At 48.2% G+C, this 27,209-nt stretch overlaps 1 protein-coding gene across 14 annotated transcripts in view; it reads left to right on the top strand.

Moving 5' to 3' along the window:
• CACNA1E (calcium voltage-gated channel subunit alpha1 E) overlaps nucleotides 1-27,209 on the top strand; it is a 490,386-nt gene that overhangs the window by 406,512 nt on the left and 56,665 nt on the right. For 7 of the 14 annotated variants that reach the window (XM_017002244.2, XM_017002243.2, XM_017002249.2 and 4 more), the window contains 10 exons: nucleotides 260-327; nucleotides 1,855-1,952; nucleotides 6,965-7,021; nucleotides 8,174-8,824; nucleotides 9,227-9,540; nucleotides 12,065-12,224; nucleotides 13,315-13,444; nucleotides 14,157-14,216; nucleotides 14,937-15,043; nucleotides 26,266-26,277. In XM_017002244.2, coding sequence (XP_016857733.1) covers nucleotides 260-327; nucleotides 1,855-1,952; nucleotides 6,965-7,021; nucleotides 8,174-8,824; nucleotides 9,227-9,540; nucleotides 12,065-12,224; nucleotides 13,315-13,444; nucleotides 14,157-14,216; nucleotides 14,937-15,043; nucleotides 26,266-26,277 — 1,657 coding nt within the window. The remainder of the gene's footprint in view (nucleotides 1-259; nucleotides 328-1,854; nucleotides 1,953-6,964; nucleotides 7,022-8,173; nucleotides 8,825-9,226; nucleotides 9,541-12,064; nucleotides 12,225-13,314; nucleotides 13,445-14,156; nucleotides 14,217-14,936; nucleotides 15,044-26,265; nucleotides 26,278-27,209) is intronic. The other 7 variants (XM_017002247.2, XM_017002250.2, NM_001205294.2 and 4 more) reach the window with 3 other exon arrangements.

The raw sequence follows: 27,209 nt of genomic DNA on the forward strand, positions 1-27,209 counted from the left end.
CAGATGGTTTGATTCAAGTATTTCTTTATCCTGGGTAAAGAGATGATATGCAGAAGGAGGGAAGAAATATCCTCTTTCTCCTTTCAACAGAGTTGTACAACATCTCCCTCTCTGTTCTCACAGCCCCTGCTTAAGTGACTCTTCAGGGTAGCTTCTGTTCCTGTTAATGTCCCAGGCAGGAAAGATTATCAGGTGGCCTCTCAGCCTTGCTGAAGACTTTTGCTTTTCTTATTTGCCCATCCTTAATTCATCACCCCAGACACGCTACTGAATGTGTTCTTGGCTATCGCTGTGGATAATCTCGCCAACGCCCAGGAACTGACCAAGGTAAGCATTGTTTTCTGGGGATCTGATGTTTCTCTAGTGCCATTGGGTACCCTTTGGCCTTTGGAACTCTCTCCCAAAGTCTACATTGTCTGACTCAGGCCTGCCAGGAAGGCCCTTTCTGGAAACTTCTGGACAGTTGGAGAGCCACACACCCATGACGGAAGGCTGGTTCACTTTTATTGAGTTTGGTGAGCCTCAACCTAGCCCAGGGGGCCTCAAGGAACACAGAAAATAACATCTTAATTTCTATGAGCCCTCAAAGGAGTCCTTTCCAGGATCATCATGGAGAGTCAAGAAAATTCTAAAGCCCTGGTTTTAAGTTCCACCTCTGCTACTGCAACCTGCGGCTGTGTGACCTGAATCACATGACTTAACCCTTTTGGGTTTTGGTGGGAGAGAGATCAGGGCCATCACAGTTCCTGGGCTATGGCTGTTGGGATATTCCAGTAGGCAAAGGTCATTTTGGGGAAATTTCAATGAAGCCAGATACTAAATTTCTCACAGAACTGTTCCCTTCTTTTCTCTGATTAATTTCCCCAGTGTGGGGAGGTAATATTAACAGCAGTGGGATGGTCTACAGAGATGAGTAAAAACCCTTCTCTTCACAGAGGGTGCCAATTTGGTTTTGGGCAGAGGTGCATAGCATCCTGCTGACATTTCTGAGCTTCTTCCATGCATTCTCTGATGATCTTTCTACATCCTTGAGGGTCTTCTTATCTGCATATATGGTAGGAAAAATATCAGCTTTAGTAGCTGAGAAACTGGGTCTGAGTCCCACACCTGCCATTGGCTGTGTTGGCTTTGCTTGGACTCCTGATCTCTATTAGCATTGGTTTCTTCATGCATGAGACAGGAATGCCATATCTGCATTGTGTACCTTACAGGATTACTGTGAGGATCAAGTAAAATAACGTCTGTGAAAACCATAGCATGCTCTGAAGATGTATGTGCTCTTATTAGCTCTAGTCATTTTACCTGAGCTGGTTTTCCTTGGGTTCATCACATAGAGGGGACACTTGCAGGAATGCTGCTGAAGGGATGAGATCTTGGCCTAAGCACCCACTTAGCTGTGCAAAGAAGACACTACAATGGGGCACTCAGCCTCAGCACTTTACTTGGCGGGGTCCTTGCCTGGAAGGCCCCTGCTCCATCACTTCCAGACACTGTAGGACATCTGGGAAGTGTCAGCTCCTGCCACTGACCTCCACAGCCATAGCCAGCTCCACTGAGGGCTAGGGGTTGGGGTAGACTTCTCCTGGTTCTCATGAGCAACCTGTGGATGGCTCCAGGATGGAGACAGGGATTGCTGGCCACGCTATAGCTGTGAGACTACTGACTCCCAAGGGGCCTGGCCTCTGGCCATCAGAAGTCTCTGAGCCAACCTAACATCTCGCTGTCTTGTTTATCCTCTTCCTGTGTCTTCCTCACTTCACTTGGTATTCAGAACTCCTCCTTAGGAGAGCAGCCAAGGGAAGCTACTCTCCTTCCTGGGGATCCCAGGCAAAGCCATCTCTGCTTTGTGTCTAGGATGAACAGGAGGAAGAAGAGGCCTTCAACCAGAAACATGCACTGCAGAAGGCCAAGGAGGTCAGCCCGATGTCTGCACCCAACATGCCTTCGATCGAGTGAGTCAGCTGCCCCCTTCACTGATCCCTGAGCTCCTGTGCTAACAGCCAATTCATCAACTCACAGAACTATTGGTTATAGGAGTGTACCTACTACATGCTGGGAACTGTTCCTGAGAATACAGCAGTGAGCCAGACAGAGTCTGTTTTCATGGAAGTGTTATTTCAGTGAGTGAGATAGATAATAAACATGCACATCATTTCAGATAGTGACAGGTGCTATAAGTAAATGAAACAGGGTCCTATGGTGGAGAAGTACAGGAGCTGGGTGGGAGCAGCTTATGTCAAGCCAGAAGGGATTCTCTGAAGGGGAGCTGTTTAAGCCAAGACCTAAGTGTGTAGATGACAGTCATGTGACATTTTGAAGGAAGAGTGTTCCCCAGCAAGGTTCAGTGTGACTGGTGTGTAATTAATGAGGGGAAATAGAGAAAGGGCCAGGGAGGGGGCAGGGGCCAACTCGGAGGTCCTTAAAGTCCAGGTGGAAGAGTTTAGCTTTTATTCTAGCTGAAATCACAAGAGGACTTCAAGTGGAAGGATGAATAGGATATGATTTACACTTTTAAAAAGGTCACTCTGTTCTATGGAGCATAATGGACTGTAGGGGCCAGAGTGGAGGCAGGGAAAGAGTCTGCTCTCAGAGTAAAGTAGGTGAGAGGTAATGGGGGTTTAGACTAGGGTGGGGGAAGTCAAGGAGATGAGTAATCCCATTCAGTCGGTAGTTTGGAGAGAGAGCCAATAGGATGAGCTCATGGATTAAATGTGGCAGGGGTGAGGATGAATAAAAGGGAAGAAACAAAAATCGATCCCAGGTTTTAAGGTTTTGTGGACTAAGCAACGGGTTGGGGAGTGGTGGTAGTTACTGTATCCCTGGAAACTGTTGGAAATCTAAAGTTCATTTTGAGATACTTCTAAGGCATCCAAGTATTGAACTGGCTATTGGTTACCTGCATCTGGAGCTCAGAAAAGTCAGAATTAAAACAATGATTGGGGAAGGTTGTTCGCATTTAGATGGCATTTAAGTCATTAGTATGGGTCAGATGACCCAGAGACCCAGCTGCTGAGGACAGAGGCTGACAGCGCTCCTCCTGCTTAAGAGGAGAAATCAGCTAAGGAGACCAAGGGAGTGCAGCCGGGAGGCAAGAGAAAGAACAGGAGGTATAGTGTGCTGGAAACCTGTGAAGGAAAACTGCAGGAAGGAGGAGTGGGTGCCGGTGCTACATACTGTAGAAAAATCACATACAATGAGGAACAGAAAAGGGACCACTGCATATGGCAAAATGAAAGCTGTTAGTGACCTTACAAGAGCCATTTTCGTGGCCAGGTTGGAACAGAACCCAGTTGAAGTGGACTAGGGAGAGAACAGGATGTGATAAAGGAGAGTGGTGAGTCCACTGCTTCAGGGATCTAGCCTGGACCTGTGGTAGAGCTACAGGTAGTCGGCCTGGGCCCTGCGTGGCCTGGTCTCTGCGTGGTGACACAGAGGGGTGTTGGAGAAGAGGCTGGGAAGTGACCATAGAACCACATAACTCCTGTTGTTGCATCGGGGCCTGCATGAGGACTGTGTGAGTGGTGAGTGGTGCTGGGGCATCTGTGGGAGGGTCCGAGACCCCCAAGGGGGTAGAAGTCTATCCTGGCAATGACCCTGTCATTGTTACTTGAAGCTAGTAAGGGAAGAGCCCTTGGTTGGCTAGAGTTCCAGTGAAGGGCTCCCAGGCAGCCTCTTCCTTGCCTTGTGGGGTGTGCCAGGGTTGTGTGTTGAAGCGGGGGACCTCCCTCCTGCACGGCCATCATGTTGCCTTTGCCTTTCGTAACAAATGCCTGGCCCCTGGATCCCTCTTCTGTGAGTGAAAGAGAAAAATTCCCTTCCAAATCGTTAAAGGTTGATAGGGAAATGCCAAAGATTGATAGGGAATATTCCTCTCTGGAATATTCTCTGGGCCTTGAGTAATTTCTACTCCACCTTCCCTGAACTCATGAGTTTGGGTTAAAAACACATACACACAGGTATCCAAAAATGTGGATGGGTAGGACTGGCTGTCACTTAGGAGTGGGTGGTTCTATTTACTGAGATGAGGAAGCCTGGGGGAGAAGTGGGTTTAGAGAGATGTGAGTTGGGACAACGCTTGGCCCAGAGTAGAAACTCACTATTTCTGGAATGAAAGAATGAATGAAATGTGGGTAGGCACAGGCAGGGCCGTGGGAATTGAGCAGAGTGTGCATCAGGGCACAGTGAGGTGGAAGGACGTGCTGCAAACATCCAAGACCAGCAGAGACCCGGGCTTTGGTGCTGTACATGTGCTGTGAGGTTGGCGTTGCTGGTGTGAGCCACCTCCGGGTGTGTGTGCCCCGCTCAGCTGTGTACACTCTGCTCAGGTATGTACCCTGCACAGATGTGTGTGCCCTGCAAAGACGTGTGCACCCTGCTCGTGTGCGTACTCTGCCCAGGTGTATGTGCCCTGCACAGGTGTGTCTACATTGCTTAGGTGTGTGTGTCCTACATAGGTGTGTGTCCTCTGCCCAGGTGTGTGTGCCCTACACAGGTGTGTGTGCTCTGCACAGGTATGTGTACAATGCTCAGGTGTGTGTGCATTTTGCTCGGGTGTGTGTGCCCTGCTCAGCTATGTGTGCCCTGCACAGATGTGTGAACATCGCTCAGGTGTATGTACCCTGCTCACGTGTGTGTACACTGCTCAGGTGTGTGTGCATTTTGCTCGGGTGTGTGTGCCCTGCTCAGCTGTGTGTGCCCTGCACAGATGTGTGAACATTGCTCAGGTGTGTGTGCCCTGCTCAGGTGTGTGTACACTGCTCAGGTGTGTGTGCATTTTGCTCGGGTGTGTGTGCCCTGCTCAGCTGTGTGTGCCCTGCACAGATGTGTGAACATTGCTCAGGTGTGTGTGCCCTGCTCAGGTGTGTGTACACTGCTCAGGTGTGTGTGCATTTTGCTCGGGTGTGTGTGCCCTGCTCAGCTGTGTGTGCCCTGCACAGATGTGTGAACATTGCTCAGGTGTGTGTGCACTGCTCAGGTGTGTGTGCATTTTGCTCGGGTGTGTGTGCCCTGCTCAGCTGTGTGTGCCCTGCACAGATGTGTGTACACTGCTCAGGTGTATGTGCCCTGCTAAGGTGTGTGTGCTCTGCACAGGTGTGTGTGCCCTGCACCAGTGTGCGTACATTGCTTAGGTGTGTGTGCTCTGCTCAGTTGTATATGCCTTGCTCAGGTGTTCATGCCCTGCTTGGGTGTTAAGGCGAAACTGCTGATTTCCGACTACACTTTAAGTGCAAACATGGCTATCCATGAAGAAACACAGAAGAAGCACTGTTAAAAAGCAAAGTGCCTGAGTGCTAGTTATATTTGTCTCACTAATATACCCTGTGACCTCAGAGAGAAAACCACTCCGATCTCAGAACCTCTATTTCCTCATCTTTGAAATGAGAAGAATGCCACCTGCCCTTCCTATCCCACAAGGGCTATTGTGAGGCGTACACAAGGTCTCATTCATATGAGTTGGAGACATGTGGATGCTTCTCTGTATGATTTTAGGTATGAATGTAAGTTTGAATCTGTGCATATGTGAGTAGAGAGAATGCTCATGCTTGTGTGTGTGAGAGAATCCTTCCACGTACGTACACTCTTACACACATGCTTCTGGATAGCTGGTATTTGAATATTTGAGAATTTGCAAATAGATGGTGTGATGTGCTTTTCCTAGCAGATGTGCATGCTGCCTGTCTAAAGCGTACGCTTCTACTTCTGTATCTACCCATGCTTCTTGGCTCTCCCGCCCCCACCTGTGCCTTGTTGCATTGCAGGTCACTGATGCTGAGGGTTGTATTCAGTTGAGGAGCTCACAGGCTTCTCCACAATGATGTCTGCATCAGTGGGTGCTCCTGGGTGGCCACACACATGTGCACTGTGCATCTTCCAGACACCCAGAGTGGGCCTCAGACCAACTGCCTCTGCTCCCTCAGTCCCACCCTTGTGTGGGGCTCTTCTGCAGACATGTGAAAGATGGCAGTTGAGGGGGATTAATTTGCCTAGCATGTTCTCCGTGGGTGGGCATCAGCTTTATCAGGAAAGGATCAGCATTTGCCAACATCCCAGGTCCAAGCAGGGCCCACTGGGCTGGACTGAGTTCATCAGGCCAGTAACTGGGGCAGGCTCACTGCAAGGATAGCCCAGATGTGTTGTCCTCTAGCTGAGCATTGAACCTGTGCTGACAGCTTATTTACCAGGCATCCTGTCTGTTTTTGCGGGAACAGTTCATACGTTGCCATTCTAACCTTGTGTTTGTAAGGACACAACATGCATATGGAAGAGAGTTTTCTCTGTACAAGGCTAAGAAGGTCAATACTCTGCTCTGCCCAGGTGAACATAGAACAGGGTCTATGGCCAGGGCCTCTGCGTTGCTCAAAGGCAGAGGTCACTGCTCACATCCTGGAGTACATGGATGGTGGCCTACGGAAAGATGGTGCTGCCTCTGACCATGGACCACTTCGTAGCCTTGACATCGTGCATGGCAGAGCACTTGCTCCGCTGCATGTTTTGTGAAGCTGGGTCAGGTTCTGCTATGGGAGTCATGAGCTGGGGAGCCACACCCAATGAATGTGCTATGCTAGCCCTAGAAATGACTCGGGGGAGGGGAAGAAAACTACTCAGCAACATCTACAGGATTTCCAAAATAGGAATCTGAAGGATGTGTAGGTGGAAGTTTGCGTGCCTGTGAGGCATGGTGTTTGAGCATCTGGAGCTGTGGATCATGTGAAATGGCATAACCTGTGTGCCTCTGCATGTGTGCTTCAAAAACTAGATCCATGTATTTGCACATAGCAAGGAATCGAAAGTCACTCCATTGGAGAATCGAATGTGGGGAGTCTACAGAAGGCAAGCAGGCACATGGAGACCTGATGGCCACACAGAGGACTCCCTGTCTCCCTCTGGAAATCTGCTGGTGGCTGTGGGGCTTGAGGTTCCTAGAGGTTGGGGTGAACTGAACCTGTCCATTTTTCTTCCCCAGAAGAGACAGAAGGAGAAGACACCACATGTCGATGTGGGAGCCACGCAGCAGCCACCTGTATGTGTGTACCAGTTTGCGTGTTTGTGAGTGGTTACGTGTGGGCGTGGGACAATGTGTCATTGTCCTTGCCATAGACAAAGTGGCACTGGGTGTGCATGTCAGTGTGTGGCTTGGTGTGTGTGTGTGTGTTCCGTTCACATGATCTGTGGATATGCCCTCTGCACCTCTCAACATTTGCTTATATCAGCGTGTGTCTACCTTTGTGAACTGTGTGTTTTTCGCTCTTCAGTCTGGCCTGTGAGTGGGTATATGTTGTGTTAGTGTTGGTGGGTATACCTCTCACGTAGGTAGTTGTGTACAGCTATGTGTGGGCCTCAGCGAGGATGCGTGTGGGTACATGCGCGTGTCCCCTTCACAGTTTGTAGGTGTGCGCCCACAGGCACAGGCTCAGGGAGGAGGTAACTTCCCCTCCGCCCAGCGAGCCCTCTCCCATGTGCTCTCCTGCACTTGTCATGTTCATGATTTCCCGCTGCCCCATGAATGCTCCTCTAGGCCCCTGGGCTGAAATGCTCGATCGCAGTTTTGAGTATGAGCTGCTGGTGGTCTCTGCACTTAGCCTTCTCTGGCTTTTATTAGCTATTGTGGAAGAGACTCCTAGCACTCTTACTTTTGAGGGTGATATCAAGACTTTTTGTAATAAGTCTGCCTGGCACTCTTCTTACCCTTCAATGGTATCTGACCATTTCAGCCCTCATTATCCCGGGCTGTAACCTGAGAGGGAAGGGAGATGAGGGGGAGAGGAGGAGGAAAGACCTTTGACCTTGAATCAAGGGCCGTTGAGTGTGTACAAGCAGATGCCCCGAAAGCAAGGAGAGCAGGGGAGTGAAGACGTGGTAAGCCTGTGGATGGCTGCCCCAGCAGGCCCTGGGGACTTGGAACTCCTCCCAGGGTTGATGCCTACCCAGCCCTCAGCTACTACAAAGCAGGGATTGGAGCAGAAAGTACCTGGGCTGGGAGGCACCTGCCTGATGAGCTCCTCACGTGTGGCCCGCCTGCTCCTCGCATCTTTCTGTGCTTCCTGTCTGCAGGTCCTGGGCACTCCCATTTGCCCCCACCATGTGTCCTGCCCTCTCACATGGCCCCTGTGGCCACCCTCCCTGCCTGCAGCTTCTGGGCTCTGACCGCGGCCCTGCCCTTTCCCCTTGGCAGGAGGGAGCGGAGGCGCCGGCACCACATGTCCGTGTGGGAGCAGCGTACCAGCCAGCTGAGGAAGCACATGCAGATGTCCAGCCAGGAGGCCCTCAACAGAGAGGAGGCGCCGACCATGAACCCGCTCAACCCCCTCAACCCGCTCAGCTCCCTCAACCCGCTCAATGCCCACCCCAGCCTTTATCGGCGACCCAGGGCCATTGAGGGCCTGGCCCTGGGCCTGGCCCTGGAGAAGTTCGAGGAGGAGCGCATCAGCCGTGGGGGGTCCCTCAAGGGGGATGGAGGGGACCGATCCAGTGCCCTGGACAACCAGAGGACCCCTTTGTCCCTGGGCCAGCGGGAGCCACCATGGCTGGCCAGGCCCTGTCATGGAAACTGTGACCCGACTCAGCAGGAGGCAGGGGGAGGAGAGGCTGTGGTGACCTTTGAGGACCGGGCCAGGCACAGGCAGAGCCAACGGCGCAGCCGGCATCGCCGCGTCAGGACAGAAGGCAAGGAGTCCTCTTCAGCCTCCCGGAGCAGGTCTGCCAGCCAGGAACGCAGTCTGGATGAAGCCATGCCCACTGAAGGGGAGAAGGACCATGAGCTCAGGGGCAACCATGGTGCCAAGGAGCCAACGATCCAAGAAGAGAGAGCCCAGGATTTAAGGAGGTGAGTGAGTCACAGGGCTCCCAGATGGATGGCACACAGGCTGCTGTTAGGTGTTCCTCAATATAAGCCTTTCTGAGCTCCAGTTTCTTCTCCTATTATAAAATGGAAATGATGCTGACACACACTTTGTGAGGTATGAATAAATATAACAGGCAGTGGGCTCTGTCCCCCCAAAAACGAGGGCCTGTTGGAAGTGGGTCGTGGATAGAAGGATGGGAATAAGGCAGTGGCCATGGCTTGTGGGTCTTAGCACCTCTCTGCCTGTCTGGTTGGGGTGGAAGGCAGTGGTGGCCTTGTACCTTCCAGGCTGCCTGAGCTTCCCCGCCTTCCCCTTGTGCCAGGCACACCTGCCATTTGGGGACAGCGTCTGAGCACCAGCTCTCTCTTCCTCTCTCTTCACAGGACCAACAGTCTGATGGTGTCCAGAGGCTCCGGGCTGGCAGGAGGCCTTGATGAGGCTGACACCCCCCTAGTCCTGCCCCATCCTGAGCTGGAAGTGGGGAAGCACGTGGTGCTGACGGAGCAGGAGCCAGAAGGCAGCAGTGAGCAGGCCCTGCTGGGGAATGTGCAGCTAGACATGGGCCGGGTCATCAGCCAGAGCGAGCCTGACCTCTCCTGCATCACGGCCAACACGGACAAGGCCACCACCGAGAGCACCAGCGTCACCGTCGCCATCCCCGACGTGGACCCCTTGGTGGACTCAACCGTGGTGCACAGTGAGAGCACAGTCCCTGTTCCCCTCCACCCCCAACTCCTATCCCATCTGGGGCTGGGGCCATGACAATAAAGCCACATGGAAAGCACCACCAGGAGGAGTAAATCATCCTTCAAGAAGTAAAAATGAGTGGCGGTTTTCTCCCAGTGTGCAGAACAAAAATAAGCTAGCGTTCTCTTCATCTTAAATTTTTCCCATAAAATTTCCCCAGGCTTGTTCCTGTGACCACCCTCAAGTCTTCAGAGTGATCACTTGTGACTTTGTGCCCAGTTAGATATTCAGCTGTTTGCTTTGGTGCATGAATATTTGATGGTGTTGTCTGGGGTCTCCCAGGTGCTCTGCTGCCCTGGCAAGTTAGGGAGCCTCTGATGGAGTGGACCATGGCTCTGCTCACTGAGTGATCTTGGAAAAATCTCTGCATCTCTTGAGGCCTCAGTTTGTCATCTGTAAAGTGAGAGCATTGTACTAGATGATCTCTGAGGCCTTTCCCTGTACTAACATTTTATATGATTCTATTGCTCTTATCAACTCTTTTTCTCCTAGGAGCTTTTAGCCACAAGTTCTCCCCATCACAGTTCCCTTAGGCAACAAATGTTAATCAATGGTGTCCTAAAGGGAAACACAGCCAAAAAAAAAAGCACTTCCCCACCCCTGCCCTGACCCTACATCCCATCCCTGTATTCATCCTACCCCTTATCCTTGCCCTGACCCCATACCCCATCCCTGCCCTGACCCCACAGCTCATCCCTGCATTATGAATTCCACACCTTATCCTTGCCCTGACCCCATACCCCATCCCTGCCCTGACCCCACACCTCATCCCTGCATTATGAATTCTACACCCTATCCTTGCCCTGACCCCACACCCCATCCCTGCGCTGACCCCACACCTCATCCCTGCATTATGAATTCCACACCCTACCCTTGCCCTGACCCCATACCCGATCCCTGCCCTGACCCCACACCTCATCCCTGCATTATGAATTCCACACCCTATCCTTGCCCTGACCCCATACCCCATCCCTGCCCTGACCCCACACCTCATCCCTGCATTATGAATTCCACACCCTATCCTTGCCCTGACCCCACACCCCATCCCTGCGCTGACCCCACACCTCATCCCTGCATTATGAATTCCACACCCTATCCTTGCCCTGACCCCATACCCCATCCCTGCTCTGGCCTCATGATCTCTGTGCATTAATCCCACCTGCTGCCCCGTGATCACTGAATTGTGACCACAGGATTCCAGCCTTGCTGTTTTCCTCTACTTTTTCTGTATTTACTCTTTCACATGAAAATCTTTTCCCTCCCTGTTTTTCTTTCTTCCATGGCTCCCTCTCCATTTCCGCATCTTCTCTATAGTCAACGTGCCACTGCTACTTCAGAAAGTGCAATCTCCCATGTCCAGTGCATGCTTCAGTTGACTTGGGCATGTCTCAGGATCCCAGACCCACAGCTCTTTTGGTGTTTGTTTGCTTTAATACATAAGAAGTGTTTTGGGCCTTCTTTTATGAGAAAGAACATAAAGCTTTACTCTCCCTCTGTTGTAATTCCAGAGCTAGTCTTTGGTCTTGGTCATAGGTAAAAGCATGTGATAGGAAGGCTTTTGGATACTTCTTATGACTTACTCTTTAGGAGGCCTGGGCATGGGCCAGGACCACCGAGGTCCACTGCTGACACAGGGTTCCAGGGTGGAGTCATTCAATGAGCAGGGAGCAGTGGGCGAGGGTGACTGGGGCCCTTTCCCCACTGTGACAGCTTCAGCCTCCTGCCAGTTTAACCTACACCGTGTCTTGAGTATGGAAACAGAGCAGCAGCTGAGAGCTCCCCTCGACCTCTGGCTCCTTCGTCCTCCCAATCCTTGGATGCAGTCATGGACCTATACTCACATGAATATTGCATTCTCATTTCTACATTAACCATGGCCGAGAAAAGCACAGCCAGAAAGCCTGCTGCAAACAGAATCATGATTTCTTGAAATCTTCCATTGCAGGGTGATTCAATGAAAGGCTATAGGATTTTGAATTGGGAACCCATACTAGCTGTATGACCTTAGGAATGGTACTTAAATTGCTAGAACTTTAGTTTTCCCATCTGTATCATGGGAGTAATAATACATGCCACTGAGGGTATACCCCTCAGTGGGAAAATTCAGTAAGTGAGCATGTACAAAGAATCCAGAGTTTAGATATAAAATCTAAACCTTGTGAATTTTATAACAGAAACATCATGTTGTTTATCAGACTGTAAAAGTTCAACCTTAAAAGTGGAAACATGATCATGGTCATTTATATGACATAAAAGGTTATTTCTCATAACATTTGGGGAGGGTAAAAATAAGAAGAGAAGAGGAGTTTAACTCAGTGTCAGGTAGTAAATACCCCCAGTGCCTGCAGGGCACCTTGTTAGGGACATCCCTGGAGCCCTTTCTCCTCCTCTCCTTTCATCCCCAACTAAACACAAATGGTGCCATTTTCACATGCCTCATGATTTCTGAAGATTTCAACGTGTTCCTCTTGCAGTTAGCAACAAGACGGATGGGGAAGCCAGTCCCTTGAAGGAGGCAGAGATCAGAGAGGATGAGGAGGAGGTGGAGAAGAAGAAGCAGAAGAAGGAGAAGCGTGAGACAGGCAAAGCCATGGTGCCCCACAGCTCAATGTTCATCTTCAGCACCACCAACCCGTAAGCCACCCTCGCGTTGCTCCCTCTTTAGTGCTAGGGTAAACGGCCAGGTGTGAGGCAGGGCAGGGTGAAGGGGAGAGGAAGGATGGGGGCCCAGCCATCTTCTTAAGCCTTCCTGGTGGAGCATGGCCAGACATTGAGCATCTGGGGTGCCCCCTAAGTGAGGTGGGTTGGTAAGTTAGTCAGCCTCTGAACTCTGTGCCCATAGCTGAAAGAGTAACATCGACAGGAGAACATGAGAAATGTCATTGGAAAGGAACTCTTTACCAGTCTTTGGTCAGTAGGTAGTGTGGAGGGAGGAAGGAAATCTACTTGAGATTTTGCCACCAAATATTCCAGAAGTGGATAGAGCCAAGAATGTGGAGCCTAGAATGACCAGATCACCTGTTGGAGTTGAGAATTTTGGTCACACTGCTCTACATGTGGAGTTTTGAAATGGTCTGCTCTGAGCATGCTACTCAGAGCAGAGGCAGGGACATGAAGTGGGGGTGACAGAGCGGAGTCTGGAAGGTTAGATTCAGGAAAGATGGAATTTGGGAAGAGCGTTCCAGCAGGGCTCTGGGAAGGGAGCAACCTGAGTTAAGGCATGTGAGCCATCCATGGCTAGAATGCAGAATATAGAATACAGTTACTTTAACCAGAATAACCTGGGGCTCATGAAAACTCATTACTGCTTTCGTCAGGAATTTTAGAATCAAGATCTCTTTTTATGTTTTTTGGTTCTTTGTAATTTCCTTGGGATGTCCCAGTTTCCTTTCAGTGGGAGAGTAGACATCGAGATACAGCAGAGGGTGCTATGCAGCTGCCCTGAGTTGGTAGGCTGATGCTGGCTGCTCCCCATGGCTCAGACGTGTCTGTGGATAATGTATCTTGGCTTGCGTGCTGCAGCCTCTAACCAATCTGATTACCTTCCTCCACTGGGGCTTTAAATCAAGGGTGGTGGCTGAGAAATTAAATTGCTCTCCCTGGCGGCTTCCTTTGGCAAGGGCCTGGCTGTCTGGAAGGGGCCAATATGTGTATGTGGGAGTGAGGAGTAAGGGCATGGGCGTGGTGGGGAGTGGGCCAGCTCAGCCATGCCCACTGCCCGCAGGATCCGGAGGGCCTGCCACTACATCGTGAACCTGCGCTACTTTGAGATGTGCATCCTCCTGGTGATTGCAGCCAGCAGCATCGCCCTGGCGGCAGAGGACCCCGTCCTGACCAACTCGGAGCGCAACAAAGTGGGTACACAGGGGCCATGTGCCAGCCTCTGTAGTGCTCTGGTGCTCACCCCATCCCAGCACTGGAGGTGAACCGAGATGGTAGCAAGGTTTCTGGGGAATGAGCAAGGGTTGGAAATTGTCCACTCCTGTTCCTCAGGGCGAAGTATGAACCATTCCCAGACAAGCCCCTTCTTAGCCCAACATACTACAAGGCTCTGCCCCAAACCGGCCAGGGCTCTGCAGGGCTCTGCAGCCACCCATGGGCTTGGATGTGGGTCTAATATAGGGTCATGGATGGTGTGTGTGAAGCTGGCAGCTGCAGCTCCACCACAGGGGGCCAAGGCCTCTCCTGGGGTCCCACGGGTATGTGTCAGGAGACATGAGGGACGCGAGGAGGACAGGAGCTGACAAGGATTTCAGGTCCCGAGCCTGAACTAAGGGACAGGTATGTGGGCAATTCAGACCCAAAATGCTAAGTTCTGGCCAACGAGAGGGAGCAGCCAAGGAGTGGCCACTGGGTCACATGGCTCCAGCAGGGCCCATGCCCCTCCTTCTGGCATTTCTCTCTCAGTCCAGCTAGTGGCTCTAATTCCAAGCCTTTGTTCTGAGGGTGCAGTGGGTGAGGGCCAGGGTGGGCGTGCACGAGTGCATGTGTCCTGGCAGGTGGGAGCTCATGTAGTAGCCTGTTGGCCACACATGGTCATTTCCTTCCACCATATGTGTCTTTCAGGTCCTGAGGTATTTTGACTATGTGTTCACGGGCGTGTTCACCTTTGAGATGGTTATAAAGGTAAAAACTTCTAGAGAAAACCTGGGCTCTTGGGTTTAGATGGGTCACCTGTCTGCTCCTTAGGCTAGAGCCCTTCCTCAGTGTTACCACCTACCAGCCAATGGCAGCCCTCAGTAGAGCTTCTGCCGCCCCTTCTCTGGCCTCAGAATCCTGAAGAAATCTGTCTCAGCAAGACACGGCTGCGTGGATGTGTTTGTACTGCTGCAGGCCTGTGGACATGGCCCAAGTAGGAGGCAGGCAACAGATGTGCAGACAGGGTTGGGGCCTGCACTCCCCTCCCCAGTGCTTGTCTTGGCTGAGCCTGGGTGTGTGCCAAGGCAAAGGGCTAGGTAGAGATGAGTCTTCCTGGGCTTCATCTAGTCCCAGCCACCACAACACTCCATAGTCTGTCTTGTTCCCAGCCTCATCCATCCAGGATTTTACCCATCTGTGCATATGTGGCAATGCCCAGTGCTCTGAGCCATAAATGAAAGGAGGAATGTGTCAGGGTTCTGTGACAACCAAGGAGTCTAGTGAACCCTGGGTGACTATGAGATGGGGGCCTCAGGACTCAGTTATGTGGAGAAAGCCTGCTGGACCTAACCTCTCATTCTCCAGGTCCTAGCATAGGGTTGGTTGTGGAGACAGTGGCAGTGGGGGCACTGCCATGATGAACAGAGCTCAGGTCAAGTGTTGCCCACACTTTCTTGGCTCACTGTGGCTGTTCATATCCTTCTGCAGATGATAGACCAAGGCTTGATCCTGCAGGATGGGTCCTACTTCCGAGACTTGTGGAACATCCTGGACTTTGTGGTGGTCGTTGGCGCATTGGTGGCCTTTGCTCTGGCGTAAGTGACTCTTTTCATATTTGATTCCCTTCCTTCCCCTCTTCCTGGAGACTCCAGTTGATTTGAAGCCCTTTCCAGAAATGCAACATGCAGGGTGATGCCAAAGAATGCCCCCGCTGGAAATCTGCTCCCCAGTCGCCCCCAGCAGAGCTCCTGAGCGCCTTGCAGCTCCAGCTCACGTGACCTGAGTGGCAGAACGGGGGAAGCAGGAGTAGGGAGCGTCAGGAGGGAGAAGTCAGAGGCCCTAGGAATTCCTTTCCTAGAGATGAGTAAGCATGGGCAGGCACTCACAGTGTGGACAGTGTTTCCATGCATTCAGCAATGGACCCAGGAACAGCTTATGGGCCCTTTCTTTCTTGAGTGTGTCAATCAAGGAAGCAGCTTGAAAGAAAGATGCAGAGGGTAGAGCAAAGTTGAGGATCACGGAATCCTAGGCATGGTGAGGTTTTCTATTCATAGCAGGTGTAAACGAGAGCTCTTCCAGGGATGCCAGAACCATGCTTTTGCACAAACCTAATAATATGTGTAATCTCCAAAAGGAAAGGCTTTCCAAACTTTCCTTGATAACATACCTAGGAAAACAGTCTTAAACCATTCAGGCAACAAAATCATGTTCATAATATTTGTGGGATTTTTTTCCCCCCTGCACATGGATCCAGCTCTAGCCAGTTTTCAATCACATTCTGACATTTCCTGTGGAATCTAGCCAAGGAAAGGGCTCTTCTAGCCCTCCTGGGATTAACTAGGAAATGGGATGCTTTCAGGGCCTTTTTCCTAACCCGGTGTATAGAGTGTCCCAGTAGGATGAATGACAGCCTCAGGGCTCTGTCTGTACCTTGTTCACCCTGAGCAGCTTCAGCCTCTTCCAGGAGGCACAACAGAATTCTCAGAGCCATCCCTCAAGTCTCTCTGAGTACAAGTGGAAGCCTCATCTTTAGGCTAAGCAAGGCTAGCTACACTGTGTAGTGAGGCAGGAGAGCTTTCAGGAGCTTCTGTCATTGATGGCAGCTGCAAAAGGAACACAGTATCTTCATACGTTTACCCTTCTGAGTGGTTTTCCCTCCAAGGGTTTGCCCTTCCAAGTGTTTAGAAAGAGATCACCCTTGGAAGGGTTTGCCCTTCTAAATGTTTAGAAACACAGGGAAGCTGACAGTGCTTCTCCCCAAGCTTCTCTTCAAGCACTGTCAGCTGCTGTCTCTTATCCTTTCTGGCAGAAAAACAGGTGGGATAAAAATTACCAGATGTTTCTCAAGTGGCCTGGTGGGGGTGGGGATAGTGGAGGGCTCTCTCTCTCTTAAGGAGAGGTACAAGATACACTCCCAGCTGTGCTAGGAGTGTAGGATCTCCCAGACCCTGGAACTGGACTGTGTCCACTGCTTCCTCAGCCATGAGAGACCCTTCAAAAGAAAACCACATTGAGCATAGTTTGTGACTCTAAAATGGGCTGGTGATCAAGGTAATTCCAGTGTCCCTTGTCCCCTTGTGCACATGTTAATTCCATTGTGTGCAGTCACCTTTGTCCCCCACAAAAAGAAAGCTTTCTGTCACATGTGGCTGGACTGTTCTTGAGGAAATTTTACAGAAGCATGGGGTATTTTCTCAAGCATCTGGGCCCTGTCTGGATTCTCATGGTGCAATGAAAGGAAAGGCAGCTCTGGCTCCAAAAGAGGGACTTCCAGCTCCTCTTCCGTCTTCTTGGAAAGAAGGATTAAAGTCTGCCTTTGCCCTAAGGAGACCCACCTTTTTTGTTAGAGATAAATATTATCCTTAGGTTTTTAAAAGGTCAAGTTCCCTTTCATTTTACTAATTCATTTGCATAGATTATTCACTGTATCATTCTTCTTATTTTGATCTCTAAAAATCATGTGTCTCTCTTTGAAGTATAAAGGACAAAGAGATAGAAGCATATAGGAAAGAACCCACCCCATCTTTAGGAAGAACAGAGCCCACTGGCATAACAGGACAGAGTGGCAAGAAAGGTTGGGCTGTGGAACCAGACGGGCTCTTGTTTGAATCCCAGCCCCTCTACTTTCCAGCTTTGTGTCCTTGAGCCACACAGCAAAATATTAACCCTCCTAACCTCAGTTCTCATCTCTGAAATGCAGATAAAATAATGTGTGTAAAGTGCTTAGGACGGGGCCTGATGTAGTGTGAACAGTCAATACATGTTGATTCCCCTCCTCATCCTTCCATTCTCTTATCACATCATGAAATCCAAATATAGGAGGAAGTACATATTGATGCACAATGTATACAGATAGATGTGTGCAGGCTGGCCCAAGACCTAGTTGTTTTATACAGACACACCCCCCTTGCCTATGCCCGTGTGCCTGGTAACCAGGCTGGTGTGTTGGTGCCAGTGTGGGAGGAGGTGTGTTTTAGAGGGAGCTCCTGCATGCCTGCCCATTGTCCACAGTCCAGACATCTCTCCTGAGACCCAGAGCAGTGATGATGTGCAGTAGAGCTGTCATCTGTCTTGTTCTTTCTTTGTGCCCTTTGAAACATGGCGGTGGTGGCTTTGGCGCTGGTGGCAGGGGAAGCCTTAACGGCCCCGGAGCTGAAGCCTCTCTGTTGGTCCTCAGACCAGGTACAGTGCAGGGGCCCCCAGGAACCCCCTCGTTCTGGGGTCCACACTTATGTGATGTATTGAGAGTTATGATCCATCACTTGCTTTTAGTCATGTTACTTCTTGAACTCTCTCTTCATTTTCTCTGAAACATAGATGATACTTGCTCACCCTTCTCCATCCATTTTCTCTTTTGCCTTCAACTTCCCAAGCTTGCCATGCCCATTCCCTCTCCCCTTTCTCCGCTCATGGAGCAGGTTCCCACTCCCCCTCCTTTGGCCTTCGTCACATTTGCTGAGGGAGGTCCAGGTAATGCTTTCTCTCACTCATGCACCCATGCTTTCTAACTCTGCCCTGTTCCTTTCCTCATTAATCGTACCAGAGAATTCAGCTCTCCCATCACTTTGATGGGGTTAGCCAGAGTCCCACCTGCCAGCAGAGAGAGGGCCTGGCCTGGGGCAGAGAGTGAAAGAAGTCACTGAGCCTATATTCCTCATGGTCAGGGGCTCAGGCCAGCAGAAAGCCAAATGTGGGGTTGTCTGCAGGCTTGTCAAGTATCTCTCTCCTTGTGTTTACAACTTTCGTTATCATATCCCATATATTTGCCCCATAATGTCCACCATTCAAATAACCTTATTCCTGTCCCAGTCTCTTTCTGCCCTTCTTGAAATTGAACCATGACTTAGTGAGGAGGCTTCTGTGAAGCCTATTGCTTAATAAACTTGAGCTATGGTGGTTGCCATGGTAGCATCTTTCTGTGGCTCCTCAGAAACCAGGGCTGACATGGCATTCCTTCCACCACCCAGCCAGAGCCTTCTCAGACCCTGGCCCAACTCCCAGGAGCAAAGCCCCTCACCGAGTCGGGGGAGTGACCTCTAGCTGAATTCTCAAACAAAGCTGTGGTGTCCCCTGAGCCCTCCTGCCGAGGCGTGTGCCTGCCACCATGTATGTTTTCTACAAGCATATATGTTGTTTATGCAGTGGCTGAAGAGAAGACTGTTCTCCACAGCTGCATACATCAAGTTAAGGGAACGTTTATAATGTAAAGCTGGAAAATTCCATTAGGGAACTTTATTGACTTTTGAGGAGGAAGGGAAGGGGATTTTTTCATTTGTTTATTTTTCTTCTTGGATTTATTTTAAGTGTGGGCAGAGCAGTGGATAAAAAAAATAAATGGAAAGATACCCACATTGCAACTTTTCTGTTCTTTCCAATTCACTTTTACGTTATAAGGCATTTATAAGAACACTCAGGTCTCCTTCCTTAAGCCCACCGTCCCTGCAGGGAGGTGGGCAGAGTTTTGGCAAAGGTTGGGTTCAGGGCTTCGTTATTCCGCTGCCCTGACAACACCCGCTTTCTGGGCCACATGGAGACAGAGTGTTTGCTGACTATAAATGTCCAGAGCTGTGCCTTCTGTACTTTGAGGTCTCAAGAAAAGTCTGGTGAGTGGCTGGATCTATGAAACCTTCCTCTTTTATCTTTTTCTTTCCAATGAAGAGGGATTCTTTTGTGTGATTTCATGTGAAAGGACCAGAAACCGCTTTGTCTAGTTTCCACACACCCTGTTGCCATCGCTGCTGCTTCCCAGACTCCTGCATGGAAGGCAAAGATGGTTACAGCCTTGGCATTTCTGGGGATCTGCACATGAGGCACATTCCCCTGCTTTGGGGGACCCTGCTCCCCAACCAAAGTCAGCTGCCTTGTAGGGAGGTCACATAACCACTACACAGATTACATTCATGAACCTCACAGAACCCTCATGTTTCATGTGTTTCATGTCTAGTGAAGTGACTTGGGCAAACAGGTGGGCAGGGACAGCATCTCTGGAGAAATGTAGGAGAGGACCAGGACACCTGTGCGTGTGTGTCTTTCTGTGTGTGACACCTGCACTCCAACCCAGGACTCTCACCCTCTCCATTTCCACTGCTCTACAGCACGTTACTTGACTAGCTCGATTCACATGAGCAGGTGAGCGCTCCTGGATTGGATTCTAAGTAGTCATCTCACAGCTTATAATTGATCGTCAGCACAGATGGTTTAATAGAAAAATAACTAGCAATTCTGCTCCCATCTCCTCCCCCACCTCGGAATTTACCATGGCCCGTGCATCAGTCAGTTACACAGGCTCTCTGGCGGCTGACGCCAAAGCTTCCCATTGCCATTTGCTGTTGTAGCAGGGCATGGGGTGAGGTCAGGACTCCCTGGCACTCAGGAGATTTGGCTCACAGCCGCACTTGGCCTTTCATTATTCAGTCCTTAGCCAGAAACGAAAAACATGAGTCAATCTGCCTCTTGATGCCAGAAGGAACTGGAGTTCCCACATTAGCTTTTATTACATTCTTTTCATTGAAGTATGTCACTTTCCTGACACTTGACACTCTGCCCTAGTCACTGAGATGGATAAGGTCCATTGAATGCATTCAGCAGTAGCTGTAGCAGCAGAGTTATATACACAGGCATGGACAATTTTAGATTTGGAAGGATCCTAAGGAGCCACATAATATGTTCCTCTGGGAGCTGGGCGTGGTGGCTCATGCCTGTAACCCCAACGAGTCGGGAGGCTGAGGTGGGAGGATTGTTTAAGGCTGGGAGTTTGAGAATATGGTCCTCTGGTTCCGGATTTGCTTGTGGGATTTTGTGTTTTAGAAGGTGAGAATGTGCACATGTAAGAAAGAGGTGGCTATTCAGCACCAAAATGCTCGTACACACTCACGCTCAGCACAGCATAGAAACAACAGACAAACATTTCACCCTAAACCTGGCTGTTTCTTTCTCCTATTCTTCACTACCTGCCTGTGTCTGAGGCAGTCCCCTCAAACCTCCAGCGTTGCCTATGGGTCTTCTTTCTTGACAGAACTTCCCTCTTTTCAAACTGAAAGGGGAGTCTTCCAAAGGAAGCAGTGACTGCACATTAATCTTGGAGGCAAAAAAAGTGGACGAAGTCCTGCTTCATGCAAAGAAGACCCATTTACCACTGAGCCAGACAGGTCATCCAGTGCCCCTGTTCTGTGGAAGAGAACGAAGGATTAAAATTAAATTTAGCCGTCAAGTAGCCCATTAACTGTGGATTTAGGAGGCCAGCTGAAAAGGAATTGGAAATTTCCAACTGTAAGCAGATAGGAGGATTTTGTTTCCTGACACTCCAGTTTAAAAGTCACCTCAAGAATGACTACATCTGATTTTTGTGCCCAGACAAGGACACTAAGGATGATCAATGCCCATGGACTTTTGAGGTGCCTACTACTATATCATAGCTGCCTTGAAAATGGAGTTTGGGAGGGAGTAAGGAGGGACAGAGTGGCAGCCACATGGAGGGAGTGAGTGTCTGAAAGGAGATAAGTCCTCAGTCTACCTACTCTTGGCATTAAGTCTCAGCATGCATATTTTTTAGTGAACGCTGGAAAATGTGTTGTCTGCTGCATGTGACATTGGTACTGCTGAGGAACTGCCTGTAGAATATTCACTTTGAGACCTTTATCTTATGGAGGCAATGGGTGTGAACACCCAAGTATTTTTTTTTTTTTTAATTAACAGCATGAAATTGGGAGATGGTTGGTTGTAAATGGGATCTCAGCCCGTGGCCACAGACCCAAGCAAAATGAAATGATCCAATCAGGGAACACTGCCCCATCCACACGGTAACCAACAACCAACTAGACCCAGATATAAAATGCACCCTGTGAGCCTTCACAACCATGGGAAGAGCCCAGTACTGCTGGATTAGTGGAAACTCCTCATAGTGCCCTCCAGATTTAAAAGTAGATTTTAGAGTAACTTGAGTCGGAAGACTTCATAATGGGACTTGGGGACCATCAACACAGATCATGCCAGCCACCTTCCTAATCCACATGCACAGGGGCACAGCCTAGCATTTCAAATTAGTCTTCAGTGGGACAAGTGTATTGGGTGGACTTCCACCAGCTCCAAGGCCTTCTTAGAAAGATCAGCAGATGAGGTGTCTTTGGGTATGTTTAGAATAAGACAAAAGAGACAACTAAATCCACTGTTCACCAGATTGAATAATAAAACTGCTAGGAGACAGTTAGATGCTCTGCTCTCTCCTGCTGCTTCTCAGTGTTTGGACAAAAACACCTGCCAGTTGGAGTATGGTGCTGTGTATAGCAAAGGAGAAAGCTTGCAAAAGGCTCTCGGGAGTGTGTGTGAGGAGCTCGTTGAGGTCCATGTGCAAGAGGGAAAGGATTATGCACCACTTAGCATAGAGCTAGTGCTCTGGTCACATGACAAAGAAAGATGGCAGAATAACAATGGATTGAGGGTTCGAGGGTGACCCCAAGAAATGCTGAGGCATGGACCACGAGGAAAAATAAACCCCAAATGGTAGCCGCTAAGCAGTGACAACGTCAAAGTGGTAAATTTAAAATTTTCACAGAAGCAGATGAACATATCCTTATCTGCAGATCCTAGAGAGACAGGCACTGCCAGTGCAAAAGGGGAAACTTCCCCATGGGGTCTTTAGAATTTTTAAAGTGCTTTCACACTCTTTATTTTATTTATCACCGAACAGTCCTGTTTTACAGTTGAGAAGTGGATTGCCTGAGGTTTGACTAGTCTGACTCATTTGACTAGTAAATAGCAAAGCCAGTTCTTGAGCAACCTTGGTGTTCTGATTTGAAGTTCAGTGTTGTCTCCATTATGTTAAGCGCCCTTCTACACATCATGTTCTAGTTAGCTCCAAGCAATTAACCCCTGTAAGCTAAGAGCAGTGGCTTGGTATAGATCTCTCCTCAACCTACAGATCCTTCTGTCTCTACCTGGTGACAGACAAGACCTATGGGTAGATGGAGAAGGTCATCCCTGAACTTGTCCATCTTGTTGTTTCATCTGTAACTTTTTTTTTCCTAGGAACCCTCATAGACCCTAAACTGATTACAGGGAGGGGAGTGTGATAGCTTAGTATTTGAGATCAGGAAGTACTTGGTCCTTTTACTGTTTCCTTCTTTGGTTAAAACGCTCCAGTGGTTCCCATTTGAAAGGCACTCTAACATCACAAATAAGAGCATAGATTTCAGAGTCAGGCACATTTAGGCCTGAATCCCAGCACTATTATTAACCGCCTTAACTTTGAACCTCTGCTTCTTCATCTGTAAATGGGGATTCAAAATAATATTTTGGTCCTATAAGCATTAAATAAGGTAAAATGTATTTAATGTCTGCTATAGTGCCAAGGACTTAGTAATTGTATAATAAATGATAGTTATTATTTCCTACCAAATAATAGTCCAGACACATTAGTGAGACACTCGAGGCTCCTCACAGCATGACCCCTCCATCTACCTTTCACTCCTGCGAGCCTGGCCATTCCCTGAGGCAAGAGATTCCTTCAGATCCCTGAGCTATTCCCCGCTCATGGGGTAGGGCAGAAGGCCATGGCACTTAAAGGACAGAAGGGTTCTTTAGAACCTGATGTCCCTGCTCTGCCCTCATGGGAGGAGAATCAGTTCCTGGCAGAAATCAACTTGAGAGCATGTCCTTTGAGAAGAGGGGGCTGGGAGGTGAAGAGCGGGATTACATTGAATGATGAGTAATTACACATGAAAGATCTGGAGGGCAGCTTGACAATTGAGCTGGAAAATTCTCGTCTTTTACTGATGAAACAAGAAAAATCTGTCATTTTTTTTTTTTTTTTTTTACTGGAGAGCAGCCAGGAACTTACCAAATAAATAGAAAATAAATGGTAAAATGTGTGGCCCAATTGAGTCCCAATTAAAGTGAGACCAGTGCATCCTAGTGTGTGGAATTGTCCTTAGATTTTAACATTAGAGTCAATTTTTGAACCTGATAGAAATTTTATTAATGAGGCAGTGTAAAAATATCTGATTATAATTTAGTATCAGAGACTAGCAAAGTGTTATCAAACAGTTACATTTAAATGATTTGTAAAATGCACGTGAATTATTTCCTAAACAATGTGCCTCAATTAAGGTACTTGAAGAGCTCATCCTTTTAGTTTGGTGAAATGTCTTCCTTGCAATCTTGTTGGCTTTGATAATGGCTTAAATCACTCTTGTATGTATGGATTTGGGAGCAGTACTTTGGCCTAGTCCATGTGTAAATTATATTTTAACTAATGGGGACTAAAGTGTTGAGGCGTTTCTTGACTCCAGGGCTTTGTTATTCAGTACTCTTTTCATTTCAAATGGCAATTTTAAAATCAGTTAAATCTTGCCCCTGTTAACAAAACTGAGGATGAAAGCATATTTTTCTGCAGCTATTCCAATTCATAGCTTTTCAATGGCTCCTCTGCAGTAAGAGACCTGATGAAAGATGCGTAGAGCAATGACTAATTTTATTTTTTTTTATTTTACTTTTGGCCTGTGTCTGATTGCTATCCTTGGCTCAGACCTGTGGGAGTTAGGATGTGACAAATAGCCCCCCCAGTGGTTTGGCAGCCACGTTCAGCTGTTAAGATTAGAGTGTACCATTAAGGAACCCTGTTTTCCAAAACAAGAGACAATGGTGAGTTTGCATTATAACATGCCTTATATGGTATATGTGGTAATACAATGAATTATACCATGATGCTTTACTAGGATTCTGGGGGGAAATTAATTCAAGAGAGCAAATTATATCCTTTATCCAGGTGTGTGGGAGGAGCAGGAAATATTGGGCCCTCCCGCAGAAGACGCATGTCTATGAGCATGACCTCTGAGAACCTTTTCAGATGCTACAGGATAGAAAGGTCTCCGAGATAAGGACTTGAGCTAAGCAGAAGGCAGAAGCTTGGGGTGTGTGATCCTAGATCACCTGCCCATATATTGATCTCCCACCCTATTCTTACATCTTAGAGATATGAAAGATTATCCCTTAGTTCTTCCTTAAGACAAATGTAGCCTGGGGAAAGGGAAACCTTTGTGGTTATTTTGGTAAATTTTTTAATTGATTTCATTTTTCCTATGGCAGCTTGCAGTTATACTTTTATTAATGTGCTTGTTTACTTGAGGTCTATCTTCCCTACTAGACTAGGTAAGTTTCAAAAGGTTGGCAACCTCATTTGTTCACAACTGTATATCCAGTATGCAGAACAGTGCCTGACATATATTAAGGACTCCACAGATGCTTGGTATATGGATGAATAAAGATGTGTTTGGCTGACCTACCATATGCCCTGTCTTATATGTGAGAAGATGCTGGGGAAGATATTTCTGTCCTCTGAACATTTAGAGGTTATCACATTAAGGATTTAAGGTTTATAAGGCCTTGGGTCTAATTCCCAAGTCATGATTCATTTGGCATTTATAGTGAAAATTAATTTAATTTTGAATATGGGATCATTTGTTGAGTAAAATAACCATTAGAAGTCTTTGCTTGTGACATACAGTAGTGGAACATAGGTTTGCCATACGTTGGCAAAAAATAAGAAAGGAAAGAAAAAAAGTAACCTTCATCACAATGTCCAACTAAGAACCAAAGCCTGAATTATGAGCACTTCTTCTTAGCAGCAGGCCAGGATAGGGAATCATGAGATGCAGGTTCACCTATGTTTCTAAACTCACTCAGTGAATGATCTTAGGCAAGGCACTTCCTCCTGGGGCCTCAGTTTCCTGTGCAGTTGGGTGGATTTCAGGGATCTCTTCCAGCTCAGAAATTCACTGTGCTGTTTGACAGAACCTTGAACTAAAACCTGCTGATGCAGAGCCTTAGTGGTTAAGAGCAAGAGCTTTGATCATCATACATGCTTGGGTTCATGTCCCAGCTCTGCCAGCTGATGTCGGGCACTCAACCTCTCTGAATCTCTTCTGTGAAATGGGGATAGTGATTCCTATGTGCTAAAGTTAGGAGGTTTAAATAAAGATTTGCACTAAAATTGCTTAGCACAGAGTCTGGCCCAGAATAAATAAATATTCAAAAAATTTAGAAGTTGTCATTATTTCTATCTTGAAGATATTTATGCCCTGACTTATTTTAAATGCCTCACCAGTAGAACTGGGATGATTTTTCACCTTCAAGCTGCACAGTATGCTCACAATGGACTGGCGGTCATTTAATTTATCAAAAGGCAAACTTTGGTGTGACATCATGATCTTGACAGACAAATGCCTCCCTCCCTTATTTCAAGTTGGTTTAATGGTGTTGCTCCTCTGAGCTTCTAAGAGACATCAGTGAGTCTCTCTCTGAGTGGTTGCGTGTCCCTCTTTAGATGAAACCCTTTATAAGCATAACTGTGCCAGTGTGTGAGAGAATTTCTGGCCCAGAGTGGGCATAGTTCCTGCAGCCTGGTTTCTTATAAATTCACTGGAAACAGAGTTTGTCTGAAGACTGCATAGGAAATGAAAGTAAACGCCTGCACTTAGAAAACTGCAGTTAAACCAGACTCCATGGAAATAACACACAATACCCAGAAGTCTATGTAGAATTGTCCCTTGTGCTGGCAGAGGGCCTTCGCCCCTGCAGGCTGGGACAGTGGCAATGGAGCAAATGGTGTGCTGGCCCTTCCTTTCACAAAGGTGTGGACACTCTAAGTGCCAAGGCTGTGGGTGGGGTCCCCTGGGCCTGTGCTGCTCTGATTCCCTATCATTGTAGGGTTCTCTTTTCTCCCTGAAGTGTTCTGACTGTCTTTCTTCTCTCTACCCCAACCCCATTTTTTTGTTTTGTTTTATTTTGATTTTCTACTGCTCTCTGATTGGATCCTCCATAGGAACGCTTTGGGGTAAATATGTTCGATTATCTTTGAAGTAAACGATACAAGGAATGAGTTGGAGGAGCGAGAAAGTATGGTTGGGAGGGGAGGGGCTCACGCACTGAGAAAAGAGTGGTCAGTTTTTATTTATATCCAAGGGATCAAAATTAGGAGTCACCAAGCCTTCTTGGGAAATGGTCATTCTTATTGGTTTGGATATGTATTCGGCTCATATGTTGCCTCTTTTAGGTATGTAGACAGATGAGCCTAATGCAGTGAAATCGTTTGTAAAACATGCCAAAGTCTCTGGATGCTAAAGACCACATCAGTGCAAGGCTTTTGGATTATTTATATTCAGATCTGGGATTGAATAAAAGTGACTTGTAGGTCATGGCCTATAATCATTAAGAGAGTCTTAAAATAAACATTCTGGGCAAAGTCAGCATTCCTTCAATTCGATTAAATATCTTTTGGCCTCGTTTTCTGTGAAAGAATGGATGGACTTTTATCTCCCTGTCAGGGGGGTGGGGTAGGGGGGTAGGTATCGCAGGAAGGTCAGGGGGAAAGCAGCCGGAAGCCTTGCAGTTCCCACCTGATGTTCTGGACCCCATTTCCTCAGATTGTTGGTGTAAGAGTAATCTGGGTCAACATGAAGAAAGAGACAGAGCCTGACTCCACTATTTAGAGTCTTGTTTTCCACCATTTGTGTGTTTTATAAATGACAACTATTTGAATTGAATGCAAATATCTCAGGGGATGAACAGAGAAGAAAGAGAAATGCAAATGTATTTGTTCATTTTATTCCTAAAAATAAAAAGAGAAACATACTGTCACTATTAGGAGTAAACATTTCCAAGAGGCTGACTAGGGAGGATCAATAGCTGTAGGGCCAGGATAAAGGTAGGCTGGGCCTGCAGTTTGGGCCTCCTCCAGTTGAGTGGCTCTCTGCAGCCTGTGCTAGG

Source organism: Homo sapiens, chromosome 1 (genome assembly GCF_000001405.40).
Source record: "Homo sapiens chromosome 1, GRCh38.p14 Primary Assembly".
Lineage (NCBI taxonomy): Eukaryota > Metazoa > Chordata > Mammalia > Primates > Hominidae > Homo > Homo sapiens.